Source organism: Homo sapiens, chromosome 3 (assembly GCF_000001405.40).
Source record: "Homo sapiens chromosome 3, GRCh38.p14 Primary Assembly".
NCBI classification, from domain to species: domain Eukaryota; kingdom Metazoa; phylum Chordata; class Mammalia; order Primates; family Hominidae; genus Homo; species Homo sapiens.
The window spans coordinates 152,593,453-152,609,865 of NC_000003.12; the positions used below are offsets into that span (position 1 = coordinate 152,593,453).

Genomic DNA, 16,413 nt, shown 5'->3' on the forward strand with positions numbered 1-16,413 from the left:
GGAAGAGGGAGGAAAGGAAAAAGAAGCAGGAAGAGGAAAGAAGGGAAAGGAAGAGGGGAAAAGAGAAGCCAGGGAAGGAAATTAAGCTGACAGAGTGAATCAGTCAGGGTTTTTGTTGCAAGCAACAGAAATTTGGTTTATTTAAGCAGAATTATCATTTATTCCCAAGTGGGCCAGATAATTGGCTTGGAGACTTTCACCAAGAACCAAGTCCAACTTTGTATTGCCCAACATAAAGCCTAGTAGGGCTGGTCTTATAGAGACACTGATGTCACTGTTTCCAGGCACAGATTTTGAGGCTTATACTGCAGATACTCATAGTGCCAGATGCTGACTAGAGCTCTTGCCACCCTAACCCAAAGGATAGGTCTTTGCATCATCAGTTCTCAAATCCACATCCTCCAAGAGAGCATCTAATTGGCAAAACCAAAGACACATGCCTGTGTCCTCTCTTCAAGCAATTTTCCTAGACTTTTTATGGAAAGAGGTCACTGTTTTTTTTTTTTTTTTTTTTTTTTTTTTTTTTTTTTTATTATACTCTAAGTTTTAGGGTACATGTGCACATTGTGCAGGTTAGTTACATATGTATACATGTGCCATGCTGGTGCGCTGCACCCACTAATGTGTCATCTAGCATTAGGTATATCTCCCAATGCTATCCCTCCCCCCTCCCCCGACCCCACCACAGTCCCCAGAGTGTGATATTCCCCTTCCTGTGTCCATGTGATCTCATTGTTCAATTCCCACCTATGAGTGAGAATATGCGGTGTTTGGTTTTTTGTTCTTGCAATAGTTTACTGAGAATGATGGTTTCCAATTTCATCCATGTCCCTACAAAGGATATGAACTCATCATTTTTTATGGCTGCATAGTATTCCATGGTGTATATGTGCCACATTTTCTTCATCCAGTCTATCATTGTTGGACATTTGGGTTGGTTCCAAGTCTTTGCTATTGTGAATAGTGCCGCAATAAACATACGTGTGCATGTGTCTTTATAGCAGCATGATTTATACTCATTTGGGTATATACCCAGTAATGGGATGGCTGGGTCAAATGGTATTTCTAGTTCTAGATCCCTGAGGAATCGCCACACTGACTTCCACAATGGTTGAACTAGTTTACAGTCCCACCAACAGTGTAAAAGTGTTCCTATTTCTCCGCATCCTCTCCAGCACCTGTTGTTTCCTGACTTTTTAATGATTGCCATTCTAACTGGTGTGAGATGATATCTCATAGTGGTTTTGATTTGCATTTCTCTGATGGCCAGTGATGATGAGCATTTCTTCATGTGTTTTTTGGCTGCATAAATGTCTTCTTTTGAGAAGTGTCTGTTCATGTCCTTCGCCCACTTTTTGATGGGGTTGTTTGTTTTTTTCCCAAACAGCATGGTACTGGTACCAAAACAGAGATATAGATCAATGGAACAGAACAGAGCCCTCAGAAATAATGCCGCATATCTACAACTATCTGATCTTTGACAAACCTGAGAAAAACAAGCAATGGGGAAAGGATTCCCTATTTAATAAATGGTGCTGGGAAAACTGGCTAGCCATATGTAGAAAGCTGAAACTGGATCCCTTCCTTACACCTTATACAAAAATCAATTCAAGATGGATTAAAGATTTAAACGTTAAACCTAAAACCATAAAAACCCTAGAAGAAAACCTAGGCATTACCATTCAGGACATAGGCGTGGGCAAGGACTTCATGTCCAAAACACCAAAAGCAATGGCAACAAAAGACAAAATTGACAAATGGGATCTAATTAAACTAAAGAGCTTCTGCACAGCAAAAGAAACTACCATCAGAGTGAACAGGCAACCTACAACATGGGAGAAAATTTTCGCAACCTACTCATCTGACAAAGGGCTAATATCCAGAATCTACAATGAACTCAAACAAATTTACAAGAAGAGGTCACTGTTTCCCACCCACACTCATAAGGTAGAAAATTCCTTACACAAAAAAAGCAAGATGTATGCTGGGCATACAAAAAGAATGACACATGTTCATTATAAGAGAACAGAGTATATTTAGTGATAAATTAGCTTTGTGGTAAAAATATTTTACTATGAAAATGGTAACACAGACCAGGTACAGTGGCTTATGTTTGTAATTCCAGCACTTTGGGAGGCTGAGGTGGGGGGATTGCTTGATTCCAGGAGTTTGAGACCAGCTTGAGCAACACAGTGTGACCCTGTCTCTACAAAATTTTTACAAATTAGCTGGGTGTGGTGGCACACATGTGTAGTCCCAGCTACTCATCTACTCAGGAGGCTGAGGTGGAGGTGGGAGGATTGCTTGATCCCAGAGGGTTGAGGGTACAGTGAGCTAGGCTTATGGCACTGCACTCCAGCCTGGGTGACAAAGTGAGACCCTGTTTCAAATTATAATAATAATAATAAATTATTTAAAAAATACTAAGAGAAAGAAGAAAGAAAGAGAGAGAAAGAAAGAAAGAAAGAAAGAAAGAAAGAAAGAAAGAAAGAAAGAAAGAAAGAAAAGAGGTAATATAATTGATCTAGGGTTAAGTGAATAAAGTATAATATATTTCTCAGTTCTGATTATTCCAAGGAATCTTTTAGTCTGGTGTCAGGGAGAGAATGGAGACCACAAATCTCTTTCCTTTTCTTCATAGCAAGATGGAAGAAGCCAAAGATTCGAGCTCTTTCTCTCAAATGTAGCTTTTCAAACAGCAAGTCCTAAGTCTCAAGTTAGGAAGTGAAAGTGTCATAGCTCTCTGATGCTGGCTAAAATTTTACTTTAAGTTTCTTGTCCTTGAAGAGAAACAGGAAGCACATTTTCTTATCAGCCAAAGCAGAATGAGTTCTTTTAGCAAGGTCCCACCCCCTGAGAGTGAACTTTGCACTGCCCAAATATGTGCGTGGAGCTCATTTGTGCTCTAATTGAATCCTTTAAAGCAACACAGCTGGAAGACTCAGATCTCACTTCCTTGATATTCTACAGTCTGCAGTTCATTTTTGCCAAGCCAAAAAGTGACTTGTGGAGGGAAAAATAACCCTAACAACAACAACATTTAAAAAGAAACAAAACCAGAGGAACTATCTGACATTTTGGTGCATCAGTTTAGTCAGTATATTCCTGCTGCTCGGAATAATTTCTCTGGACCTAGAACTCAACTTCTTCTTAGATAATTTATAATCATGGAAACCATACAGATCCCTGAGGTCAGGGAGCCACAGCGAGACCACATCCTTTGTTTTCATTTCTCAGCTCCAAGTTAAGCTGCTTATTGTGCCTGGATCCAAGATGTACAAATCATCCAGAGTGGCTGGGTTGTGTAAGAATGTTTCAACTGGCATGATGCCTGCTCTATCAATACAAATGGCTTAACTATTTTCTGATAAACCAAAGAATCATCCTACATGGCTCTCCTGAAACTGTAACTGTCTCTGAGCTGGCAGAGGAAGACTTGCAAGGGTTTTGTGTTTGAGAATCATCTGCAGATTGAGTTTTACAGGAGCTGGTTCCCTTACTTTGACACCCTGGGAGCAACTTCATATAAAGAACAGATCAGCATCTGAATATGGAACAGTAGGTGTCAGGCCTCTGAGCCTAAGCTAAGCCATCATATCCCCCGTAACCTGCATGTACACATCCAGATGGCCAGTTCCTGCCTTAACTGATGACATTCCACCACAAAAGAAGTGAAAATGGCCTGTTCCTGGCTTAATGGATGACATTATCTTGTGAAATTCCTTCTCCTGGCTCATCCTGGCTCAAAAGCTCCCCTACTGAGCACCTTGTGACCCCCACTCCTGCCCACCAGAGAACAACCCCTTTGACTATAATTTTCCTTTACCTACCCAAATCTTATAAAACGGCCCCAACCCATCTCCCTTCGCTGACTCTCTTTTCGGACTCAGCCCGCCTGCACCCAGGTGAAATGAACAGCTTTATTGCTCACACAAAGCCTGTTTGGTGGTCTCTTCACACGGACGTGCATGAAATTTGGTGCCATGACTCGGATCGGGGGACCTCCCCTGGGAGATCAATCCCCTGTCCTCCTGCTCTTTGCTCCATGAGAAAGATCCACCTACGACCTCAGGTCCTCAGACCACCAGCCCAAGAAACATCTCACCAATTTCAAATCCAGTAAGCGGCCTCTTTTTACTCTCTTCTCCAACCTCCCTCTATCCCTCAACCTCTTTCTCCTTTCAATCTGGGCGCCACACTTCAATCTGTCCCTTCTCTTAATTTCAATTCCTTTCATTTTCTGGTAGAGACAAAGGAGACACATTTTATCCATGGACCCAAAACTCCGGCGCTGGTCACGGACTAGGAAGGCAGCCTTCCCTTGGTGTTTAATCACTGCAGGGATGCTTCTCTGATTATTCACCCACGTTTCAGAGGTGTCAGACCACGCAGGGACGCCTGCCTTGGTCCTTCACCCTTAGCGGCAAGTCCCGCTTTTCTGGGGGACTTGCCAACCCCTTCTCTCCATGTCTCTACCCCTTCTCTGCTTTTATGGGGGAAGGGCAAGAACTCCTCAACCCCTTCTCCTTCACCCTTAGTGGCAAGTCCCGCTTTTCTAAGGGGCAAGAACCCCCAATCCCTTATCCCTGCATCCTGACCTCTTATCTCTGTGCCCCAATCCCTTATCACTGTGCCCCAATGCCTTATTTCCGTGCCCCAACCTCTTATCTCCATGCCCTGACCCCTTATTTCCATGCCCCGACCCCTTTCCCACTTTTCTGGAGGGTAAGAACCCCCGAACCCCTTCCCTCCATGTCTCTACTCTCTCTTTTCTCTGGGCTTGCCTCCTTCACTATAGGCAACCTTCCACCCTTCATTCCTCCTTCTTCTCCCTTAGCCTGTGTTCTCAAGAACTTAAAACCTCTTCAACTCACACCTGACCTAAAACCTAAATGCCTTATTTTCTTCTGCAACACCGGTTGGCCCCAATACAAACTTGACAATGGCTCTAAATGGCCAGAAAACGGCACTTTCAATTTCTCCATCCTACAGGACCTAAATAATTTTTGTCGAAAAATGGGCAAATGGTCTGAGGTGCCTTAAGTCCAGGCATTTTTCACACTTCATTCCCTCCCTAGTCTCTGTTCCCAATTCGATTCCTCCCAAATCCTCCTTTTTTCCCTCCCACCTGTCCCCTCAGTCCCAACCCCAAGCATTGCTGAGTCTTTCCAGTCTTCCTTTTCTACAGACCCATCTGACCTCTCCCCTCCTCCTCAGGCTGCTCTTCACCAAGCTGAGCTAAGTCCCAATTCTTCCTCAGCCTCCGCTCCTCCACCTATAATACTTCTACCACCTCCCCTCCTCACACCCGGTCTGGCTTACAGTTTAGTTCCATGACTAGCTCTTCCCCACCTGCCCAGCAATTTCCTCTTAGAGAGGTGCCTGGAGCTGAAGGCATAGTCAAGGTACATGTACCTTTTTCTCTATCAGACCGCTCTCAGATCAGTCAATGTTTAGGCTCTTTCTCATCAGACCCCACTAAATACATACAGGAATTCTGATATCTAACTCTGTCCTACAATTTAACCTGGAGTGACTTAAATGTCATCCTGACTTCTACCCTCTCCCCAGATGAACGGGAAAGAGTTTTTTCTCTAGCCCAATCTCATGCTGACAACCGCTGGCTTCATGAGCCAGACCTCCAGGAAGGCATTAGAGCAGTTCCCCGAGAGGATCCCCAATGGAACTACCAGGCAAATTCCCCAGGTATAGCTAGGCGAGATTACATGATTTCCTGCCTAGTTGAAGGGCTTAAAAAGGCAGCTTACAAAGCTGTTAATTATGACGAGCTTAAAGAAACTACCCAAGGTAAAGACGAAAACCCAGCCCGGTTCATGGCCCGCTTAGCAGCAACACTTAGACACTTTACTGCCCTAGACCCAGAGGGGCCAGAAGGCCGCCTTATTCTTAATATGCATTTTATCACCCAATCCACTCCTGAAATTAGGAAAAAACTCCAAAAATTAAATTCCGGCCCTCAAACTCCACAACAGGACTTAATTAACCTTGCCTTCAAGGTGTACAATAATAGAAAAAAGTTGCAATTCCTTGCCTCCACTGTGAGGCAAACCCCAGCCATATCTCCAGCACACAAGAACTTCCAAACGCCTGAACTGCAGCGGCCAGGCATTCTCCAGAACCTCCTCCCCCAGGAGCTTGCTACAAGTGCCAAAAATCTGGCCACCAGGCCAAGGAATGCCCGCAGCCCACCTGAACTGCAGCGGCCAGGCGTTCCTCCAGAACCTCCTACCCCAGGAGCTTGCTACAAGTGCCAAAAATCTGGCCACCAGGCCAAGGAATGCCCGCAGCCCGAGATTCCTCCTAAGCCATGTCCCATCTGTGCAGGACTCCACTGGAAATTGGACTGTTCAACTCACCTGGCAGCCACTCCCAGAGCCCCTGGAACTCTGGCCCAAGGCTCTCTGACTGACTCCTTCCCAGATCTTCTCGGCTTAGCGGCTGAAGACTGACGCCGCCCGGTCACCTCGGAAGCCCCGTAGACCATCACAGATGCCGAGCTTTAAGTAACTCTCACAGTGGAAGGTAAGTCCGTCCCCTTCTTAATCAATACAGAGGCTGCCCACTCCACATTACCTTCTTTTCAAAGGCCTATTTCCCTTGCCTCCATAACTGTTGTAGGTATTGACGGCTAGGCTTCTAAACCTCTTAAAACTCCCCAACTCTGGTGCCAACTTAGACAATACTCTTTTAAGCACTCCTTTTTAGTTATCCCCACCTGCCCAGTTCCCTTATTAGGCCGAGACGCTTTAACTAAATTATCTGCTTCCCTGACTATTCCTGGACTACAGCTACATCTCATTGCCGCCCTTCTTCCCAATCCAAAGCCTCCTTTGCGTCCTCCTCTTGTATCCCCCACCTTAACCCACAAGTATAAGATACCTCTACTCCCTCCTTGGCGACTGATCACGCACCCCTTACCATCTCATTAAAACCTAATCACCCTTACCCCACTCAATGCCAAGATCCCATCCCACAGCATGCTTTGAAAGGATTAAAGCCTGTTATCACTCGCCTGCTACAGCATGGCCTTTTAAAGCCTATAAATTCTCCTTACAATTCCCCCATTTTACCTGTCCTAGAACCAGACAAGCCTTACAGTTTAGTTCAAGATCTGTGCCTTATCAACCAAATGGTTTTGCCTATCCACCCCATGGTGCCAAACCCATATACTCTCCTATCCTCAATACCTCCCTCCACAACCCATTATTCTGTTTTAGATCTCAAACATGCTTTCTTTACTATTCCTTTGCACCCTTCATCCCAGCCTCTGTTCACTTTCACTTGGACTGACCCTGACACTCATCAAGCTCAGCAAATTACCTGGGCTGTACTGCCGCACGTCTTCACAGACAGCCCCCATTACTTCAGTCAAGCCCAAATTTCTTCCTCATCTGTTACCTATCTCTGCGTAATTCTCATAAAAACACACTTGCTCTCCCTGCCGATCATGTCCAGCTGATCTCTCAAACCCCTACACCTTCTACAAAACAACAACTCCTTTCCTTCCTAGGCATGGTTAGTGTGGTCAGAATTCTTACACAAGAGCCGGGACTGCACCCTGTAGCCTTTTTGTCCAAACAACTTGACCTTACTGTTTTAGGCTGGCCATCATGTCTCCATGCAGCAGCTGCTGCCGCCCTAATACTTTTAGAGGCCCTCAAAATCACAAACTATGCTCAACTCACTCTCTACAGCTCTCATAATTTCCAAAATCTATTTTCTTCCTCACACCTGATGCATGTACTTTCTGCTCCCCAGCTCCTTCAGCTATACTCACTCTTTGTTAAGTCTCCCACAATTACCATTGTTCCTGGCCCGGACTTCAATCTGGCCTCCCACATTATTTCAGATACCACACCTGACCCTCATGACTGCATCTCTCTGATCCACCTGATGTTCATCCCATTTCCCCATGTTTCCTTCTTTCCTGTTCCTCACCCTGATCACACTTAGTTTATTGATGGCAGTTCCACCAGGCCTAATCGCCACACACCAGCAAAGGCAGCCTATGATATAGTACGAGCCACTAGCCCACCTCTTAAAACCTCTCATTTCCTTTCCATTGTAGAAATCTATCCTCAAGGAAATAACTTCTCAGTGTTCCCCCTGCTATTCTACTACTTCTCAGGGATTATTCAGGCCCCCTCCCTTCCCTATACATCAAGCTCGAGGATTTGCCCCCACCCAGGACTGGCAAATTAGCTTTACTCAACATGCCCGAGTCAGATAACTAAAATACCTCTTAATCTAAGTAGACACTTTCACTGGATAGATATAGGCCTTTCCTATAGGGTCTGAGAAGGCCTTCTCAGTCATTTCTTCCCTTCTGTCAGACATAATTCCTCAGTTTAGCCTTCCCACCTCTATACAGTTTGATAACAGACCAGCCTTTATTAGTCAAATCAGCCAAGCAGTTTTTCAGGCTCTTAGTATTCAGTGAAACCTTTATATCCCTAACAGTCCTCAGTCTTCAGGAAAAGTAGAACGGACTAAAGGTCTTTTAAAAACACACTTCGCCAAGCTCAGCCACCAACTTAAAAAGTACTGGAGAATACTTTTACCACTTTCCCTTCTCAGAAGTCAGGCCTGTCCTCAGAATACTACAAGGTACAACCCATTTGAGCTCCTGTATGGACACTCCTTTTTATTAGGCCCCAGTCTCATTCCAGACACCAGACCAACTTGGACTGCACCCCAAAAAACTTGTCATCCCTACTATCTTCTGTCTAGTCATACTCCTATTCACCATTCTCAACTACTCATACACGCCCTGCTCTTGTTTACACTGCCAGTTTACACTATTTCTCCAAGCCATCACAGCTGATACCTCCTGGTGCTATCCCCAAACTGCCACTCTTAACTCTTAAAGTAAATAAATAATCTTTGCTGGCAGGACTATGCTGAATCCTCTTAGGCACTCTCTAATTAGATGTCCTAAGTCCTCCCAATTCTTAGTCCTTTAATACCTGTATTTCTCCTTCTCTTATTCCGTTTAGTTTTTCAATCCATACAAAACCATATCCAGGCCATCACTAATAATTCTACACGACAAATCTTTCTTCCAACAACCCCACATCACCCCTTACCACAAAATCTTCCTTCAGCTTAATCCCTCCCACTCTAGGCTCCCACGCCGCCTGTAATCCCGCTCAAAGCAGCCCTGAGAAACATCACCCATTATCTCTCCATACTACCACCAAAAATTTTCACCACCCCAACACTTTACCACTATTTCATTTTATTTTTCTTATTAATATAAGAAGACAGGAATGTCAGGCCTCTGAGCCTAAGCTAAGCCATCATATCCCCTGTGATCTGCATGTACACATCCAGATGGCCAGTTCCTGCCTTAACTGATGACATTCCACCACAAAAGAAGTGAAAATGGCCTGTTCCTGCCTTAACTGATGACATTATCTTGTGAAATTCCTTCTCCTGGCTCATCCTGGCTCAAAAGCTCCCCTACTGAGCACCTTGTGACCCCAACTCCTGCCCGCCAGAGAACAACCCCTTTGACTATAATTTTCCTTTACCTACCCAAATCCTATAAAACGGCCCCACCCATATCTCCCTTCACTGACTCTCTTTTCGGACTCAGCCCGCCTGCACCCAAGTGAAATAAACAGCTTTATTGCTCACACAAAGCCTGTTTGGTGGTCTCTTCACACGGATGCGCATGAAAGTAGGTGCTTTATTGTCACACCTGCCTTCCCTTCCTCTCCAACAATAGATTGGGCAGCACCCATGGATTAGCTTTTTCCTGCCTCCATCACAGATGTTCTCATTCAGACACGAATGTGAGCTGCTTCTTCTGCATAGAGCTCAGTATGGTTGCCTGACAATCTATTTTTTTTTTTTTAAGACGGAGTCTGACTCTATCGCCCAGGCTGGAGTGCAGTGGCGCAATCTCGGCTCACTGCAAGCTCCTCCTCCCAGGTTCACGCCATTCTCCTGCCTCAGCCTCCCGAGTAGCTGTGACTACAGGTGCCCACTACCATGCCCGGCTAATTTTTTGTATTTTCAATAGAGACAGGGTTTCACCTGTTAGCCAGGATGGTCTCGATCTCCTGACCTCGTGATCTGCCCACCTCGGCCTCCCAAAGTGCTGGGATTACAGGCCTGAGCCACTGTACCCGGCCCGGACAATCGTAACAGGATCTCTGGACATGCATATAAACAGTGGCCATGAGTCAGTCTACCCACTCTTTCCTACAAAACAATCATGTTTTTAAAGAATTTCTTAATATTTATCAAAGGCTCAGTATTTGTGGAATTGCTGGCAAATGCCAGCAGTTTAATGAAGGTGTAACAGATTGGTTTATTTCTGTGTTAGATTTGGTTTGTTTTCCCCCAAGATTAGCCTGTATAATTAAGAATTTTTTTTGGAACTTGGAGATCAATTCTTAAAGAAAATGGGAAATAGGCCACTCATACAGAAAGCAATCAGATTTGGATCATCTGGATTCACTTTGTGGATTAAAAGGTTGAAACTCTGAGATGAGTTTTCAACAAAAAAACTATTCCATATGTGAGGCATTGGGCTAAATTTAAGGATAAATTAAAAACTTTGGATTTTTTAATTTATTTCCTGTTGTCATTTTTGTTTCTTGATTTGAAGTTTCAAAAAATTGCTACTTGTTTGGAAATGACTACCTTGACTAATCCAGGGAAGGCATTAATCTGGTTAAAGGTGAAAGAAATTAATGCTGGAGAACTTGAGGGTGTTAGTTTACTCTCAGGAACTTACTGTGTTGTTTAGAATAAATAAGTGAAATTAGAATTACTGCCATTGCAACCGCCCAGTGGGTTCCCCTTGCCCACTGCCTGGACAGAGCCAACTTACCAAGACAGGGGAATTGCAGTAGAGAAAGAGTAATTCACACAGAGCTGGCTGTGCAGGAGACCAGAGTTTTATTACTCAAATCAGTCTTCCTGAGAATTCCAGGATCAGAGTTTTGAAGGACAACCTGGTGGGTTGGGGGAAGCCAGTGAGCCAGGAGTGCTGATTGGTCAGAGATGAAATCATAGGGAGTTGAAGCTGTCTTCTTGTGCTGAGTAAGTTCCTGGGTGGGGGGCACAAGGTGCCAGCTGATCCATCATGAGCAGGATCTGCAAAATATCTCAAGCACTGATCTTAGGATCAGTTTAGGGAGGATCAGAATCTTGTAGCATCTAGCTGCATGACCCCTAAACCATCATTTCTAATCTTGTGGCTAATTTGTTAGTACTAGAAAGGCAGTCTAGTCCCCAGGCAAGAAGGAGGTTTGTTTTGGTAAAGGGCTGTTATCATCTTTGTTTTAAACTATAAACTACAAACTAAGTTTCTCCCAAAGTTAGTTCAGCGTACACCCAGGAATGAACAAGGACAGCTTAAAGGTTAGAAGCAAGATGGAGTCAGTTAGGTTAGATCTCTTTCACTGTCTCAGTCATAATCTTGCAAAGGTGGTTTCACCATTGTATTCTGGGAAATTGTGGGATGACATTTGGGAGTGACTTAGCTTAGAAAAAATGGACAAGGCCAGAAAGGGGGAGGGAAGAGAGAAAGAGAGAGAGAGAGAAAGAGACAGAGAGAGAGAGAAGCTTGTAGTTATTCCAAAATTGTGATTTGCAAGATACTCTGTTTTAGAGATGCCCACACCCTTGAATGTTCAATGGGACCAAAAAGAGTACCTAAAAAGAAGGGAGAATTCATTATTCACCTTGGACCAAGCCAGCCATTAAAGAAGAAAGAGTTTTTCTTTGATCTCTGTTTCACATAGAAATGTGATCTGTTTTTCCTTGCTCTAACACAGCTGAGGTGGTTAGGTAAGGTCTAGGGAAATTTATTTCTTGGAATAAAAAATGGAGGTCAAAGAGGGCTAGGGGTGGCCTCCTCTAGAGTCTGGGTCTCCTGCTAAAGGTACTTTAGTTTCCCAAGATGTCTAGGCCAACTATTGAGAATAGGAGACCAGGAATGGATTTGTGACTGATGCTCAAACTAGTAAAATTATGTATGTTTGCCTGGAATATTGTATTTTACCTTCGGGCTTATTTCACTTTGCATAATGTCCTCCAGGTTGCCTGGAATATTTTATATACTGGAACAAAAAGCACAAGGGTGACTATGGTAGATCAACAGGTTTGGGTTCTTGGCGTCACCCATATCTTTAACAGGTAACTAACCCATTTGATCCTGCATGGTCCTATTTTAAATGCATCTACTCCATCTTCTAGGAACTCATGTAGCAACTATTCCCAGCATAGACAGAATTTTTTATCCAGTGGAGAAACACTAAGAAGTTTCTCATTCAGTGATCTGTAGATACACATACATATCCAGAATACAAGCACACAGCCAAAATAGGGTATGTCATTCCTGAGTACATGACACAAATATTGAATGATGAAAAAAAGCTACAAGCAGTAAGTCAGGAAATCACAGACACCTGGGAGGGGTGACCCAAGCCCTTTAATTCTGCAGTGAATAAAAATAGCTGAGAGATTTGCTTTGCATCACATGTGAAACCAAATTCTTCCACATTGAGATACATGTTGCTGCTCACTCACTGATTTCTGTTCTAAACATGGAAATTCCAGGAATGTGAGGGGTTCTTTTAATCTCATACTGCATAGTGTTGACCAGAGGTTTCAACATGTGTGTTTTCCTTGATTCAACCAATTTTAAAGAAGTTAAGCTAAAATTTAAAATCAGGAGATTTTACCTAAAAATCTGTTTCCATCTTCCTTTGAAAAATTGAAAGATAGGGGAACAATGGATTGACCTACTGCTGTGCAATAATGGTGCACTTGGCTGAGAAGCAGCTGTTCTCATTAGACAGGACGTGAGCTTTCTAGGACACCACAAATTTGATCGCTCGCTTTGTCTCTCTAACATTGAGGCTAACAGTTGCCAATCATCATCGCACCAGCACAACCAGTTTGTTGTTTTCCTTTTAGTATTGGAAATATTTATCTGCTGCTCATGTCTCTATCAATCGTGGGGTAACAAATGTCATGCGATGCCAACACAGCCACATGTTTCAAGAACAATGAAGAGCGTATTTGTTCATGGAAACACAAAATAGTTCTATGCATTTAATAGGCAAACCTTCCTCTTGCTTCACTCATATTTCTATCTGGTCCCTTCAGGCATTTGAGATTTTTAAATCCTGAGGCCAGGTTTATCAGAGGTTGTATTTTATCCTTAAACGCCCAGAGCTCCTTGGAATTATTACAATCAGATAAGTTGTCAGGGTAGTATAAAATATCTTCCTAGGCAAGGGAAAAATCTTATCCTGTGCACAGGGACTTTGAATGGGTTTTGAGTTTCTTCTTGCTATTCTTAGTCCCTTGTATCCCAAATTACAACAATGTACATTACATTTTAGTGAACTTGAGGTTTCTGAGTACAAATAATACAAGCCCCAAACAGTGAAATTCTTGACTCATATTTAGGAAGTAAACTTACGTTTTCCTAACTCAATAACTTTCTATTTGCACCCTTGGCATTTGCACTGGGCACTAGATTTAAGGGGTAGGAAAATGAAATAAAGGTACAGAATTTACCATTTCCACATCAACAAAGATTTGGAGTTAGTTGTTTTGGTGGCGGCCAATTTGGTCAAAGTAATTTCCTACCTCTATAACTTCTCTGAAAGCCTCCCAAAAGTATAAAATTATATGCAATCTCAGTTGTTAAAATGTCGTGTCCTATTAAAGATCTATTTCCTTGTCCTATGCCATTGTCCAGAAGTTTTAAATATTTTTTGCCATGTTGAAATGGCTACAGTATATTAGTTATAATTCTATGGCCTGGAATATAAATAATTACTATGTGTTAAATAAAAATTATAGGAGGCTATTGTTTTGGACTCAGCTTCTGCATAGACCCTAGCAGATCAAAATCAAAATCAAAATGGAGTCACTCATGCTAAATAAAGTTCCATATCACCAAACCTAAACTAAGTTTTTATCTGAACTTCCAAGAAATTAGAAAAGAGAGATAACCGCCAGTTTTCCAAAAAGGCCAGTTTAAATCTTTAATCCACATTATAATGAAGTTTTTTCTGCTTTAATCTTTACACAAAAAAGGTAGCCTGAAGTAATCTGATATTAACTAATCAGTTATTTTTCTATTGTTGTCTAAAAGTAACTAATACACTCTTTGTTCTTTGCTTCTGCTTTCTTCAGCCCTCGTCTGTCTATAAAGCTAAACTCTTCTCTCTTCTGCCCAATTCATTTGAACATTTACTATATTTTACAGAGAAAACTGTTGCCTGATTCTAGAATTGCAAATAAAGGTATTTGAGATCTTTAAACTAAATTTGTTGTAGTCTGGTCTTTGACAAATAAAATTTTCTCCATTAAAATATAGCAGAAAAAAATTGTTATAAAAGTAAGGTTGTTTTTGTTTTTGTTTTTGACAGAGTCTTGCTCTGTCGCCCAGGTTGGAGTGGAGTGGCATGATCTTGGCTCACTGCAACCTCCACCTCCCAGGTTCAGGCGATTCTCCTGCCTCAGCCGTTCGAATAGCTGGGACTGCAGGCGTGCGCCACCATACTTAGCTAATTTTTGTATTTTTAGTAGAGACGGGGTTTCCCCATATTGGCCAGGCTAGTCTCAAACTCCTGACCTCAGGTGATCCGCCCGCCTCAGCCTCCCAAAATGCTGGGATTACAGACGTGAGCCACTGCACCCAGCCTAAAGTAATGTTTATGTTGGCTCCACTCATCAGACAGTGAGATGTGGGGAGGTAAAAGGGATCTTTTAGAATTAGAATAATGAGCCGGGCACAGTGGCTCACACCTTTCATCCCAGCACTTTGGGAGGCCGAGGCGGGTGGATCACGAGGTCAGGAGATGGAGACTATCCTGGCTAACACAGTGAAATCCCATCTCTACTAAAAATATAAAAAATTAGCAGGGCGTGGTGGTCTGTGCCTGTAATCCCAGCTACTTGGGAGGCTGAGGTAGGAGAATCACTTGAACCTGGGAGGCGGAGGTTGCAGTGAGCCGAGATCGCACCACTGCACTCCAGCCTGGATGACAGAGTGAGACTCCGTCCCCCTCTCCCCCCGCCAAAAAAAAAAAAAAGAAGTAGAATAATGAAAGACTAAAAGACACAAACAACCATTGCTGAAAATCGCAGTAGGTTAACAAGAATAACATGCATAGCCATGAATAAGCAATGCATTTATATGAAAGATAGAGAATACATGCCTTGCATACCTGTTCATCATGTGAAAGGGACATCTGTGGATATGAGGCTAGGCCTGTGCAGTGCTTACAAGCAGACTTTAGTTAGTGCTGTCTTCAACAGTGCATTGTGTAACATTGCTGTTCATCTCAGAATTACACGCACTAGCACAGAGTTCTGTTTCTGCAGTGAATTGTACGTATGATGTATCTTTTATCTCACGGTAGTCAGCCAGATGAGTGGAGAGGAAAGCTCTCTGTTTTCTCCATAAGGAGTGCAGAGGGCTCCTTTTTCTTCTTTGAGAGTGCCGCCCAACCATCTTGCTTAAGCACCTGTGGTCTCATTTTCTTTCCATTTTTCTTGTTTTCGTGAATAATGAGGAAAGAAAAGAGCTTTTATCGAAGGAATGTGAGCCCTTTCAAATTATCAGGCCCAGAAAGGCATTAAAATGAGACAGCAATCATGCCCTCCTTCCCTGCTTTTGATCTATGTATTTATCTTTTGAAACTGCTTGCTATTGCCACAAGTAGCTATAAATGAAATAATGCTGCAGCAGTCACTATGACTCACACCCTCTAACTCAATAATGTTTAGCCAATCACTAATCAATGCTATTTCTGTAAACCAATGAGAATTCCTGACAAAACACTTTGTATAGCCCACTCTCTATCCCAATATTTGCCTTTAAAAACATGCTTGTAATAAAGGCCGAAAGGAGCTCATATCCAGGGTTACTTGGCTCTGAGTCTTCTGGAAAGCTGTCCTCACTTTGGCTGAAGTCAACTCTTAAAATTGTATTTTGTGCTTCAGCATCTTCCCTTTAGGTTAGCACTACTTTTGAAGCATACTACGGATTAAGCCATGAATGGAAATATTATCACATTTGTTTTGGTACAAAAGTACCAAGACAGAGTCATATCTCTTATTAAAATAAAAGTTCAGGCTGGGAGCGGTGGTTCATGCCTGTAATCCCAACACTTTAGGAGGCTGAGGCAAGAGGATTGCTTGAGTCCAGGAGTTTGAGACTAGCCTGAGCAACATGATGAAACCCTGTTTCTACAAAAAATTAAAAAATTAGCTGGATGTGGCGGTGCACACCTTGTAGTCCCAGCTACTTGAAAGGATGACATGGGAGGATTGCTTGAGCCCAAGAATTTGAGGCTGCAGTGAGTCATGCCACCTTACTCTAGCCTGGACAACAGTGAGACCCTGTCAAAA

At 43.0% G+C, this 16,413-nt stretch overlaps 4 annotated features.

Moving 5' to 3' along the window:
- Positions 2,921-3,020: an enhancer, noted in NCBI's record as "active region_20709". NCBI's record gives its function as "activates an Ori minimal core promoter by ATAC-STARR-seq in GM12878 lymphoblastoid cells {active_cell/tissue: GM12878}" and the evidence as "EXISTENCE:reporter gene assay evidence [ECO:0000049][PMID:35858748]".
- Positions 3,384-4,054: an enhancer, noted in NCBI's record as "OCT4-NANOG hESC enhancer chr3:152314625-152315295 (GRCh37/hg19 assembly coordinates)". NCBI's record gives its function as "activates a minimal SCP1, AML or CMV promoter by ChIP-STARR-seq in naive H9 embryonic stem cells {active_cell/tissue: H9 hESC(naive)}" and the evidence as "EXISTENCE:reporter gene assay evidence [ECO:0000049][PMID:30033119]".
- Positions 9,114-9,808: an enhancer, noted in NCBI's record as "OCT4-NANOG-H3K27ac hESC enhancer chr3:152320355-152321049 (GRCh37/hg19 assembly coordinates)". NCBI's record gives its function as "activates a minimal SCP1, AML or CMV promoter by ChIP-STARR-seq in primed H9 embryonic stem cells {active_cell/tissue: H9 hESC(primed)}" and the evidence as "EXISTENCE:reporter gene assay evidence [ECO:0000049][PMID:30033119]".
- Positions 9,809-10,502: an enhancer, noted in NCBI's record as "OCT4-NANOG-H3K27ac hESC enhancer chr3:152321050-152321743 (GRCh37/hg19 assembly coordinates)". NCBI's record gives its function as "activates a minimal SCP1, AML or CMV promoter by ChIP-STARR-seq in primed H9 embryonic stem cells {active_cell/tissue: H9 hESC(primed)}" and the evidence as "EXISTENCE:reporter gene assay evidence [ECO:0000049][PMID:30033119]".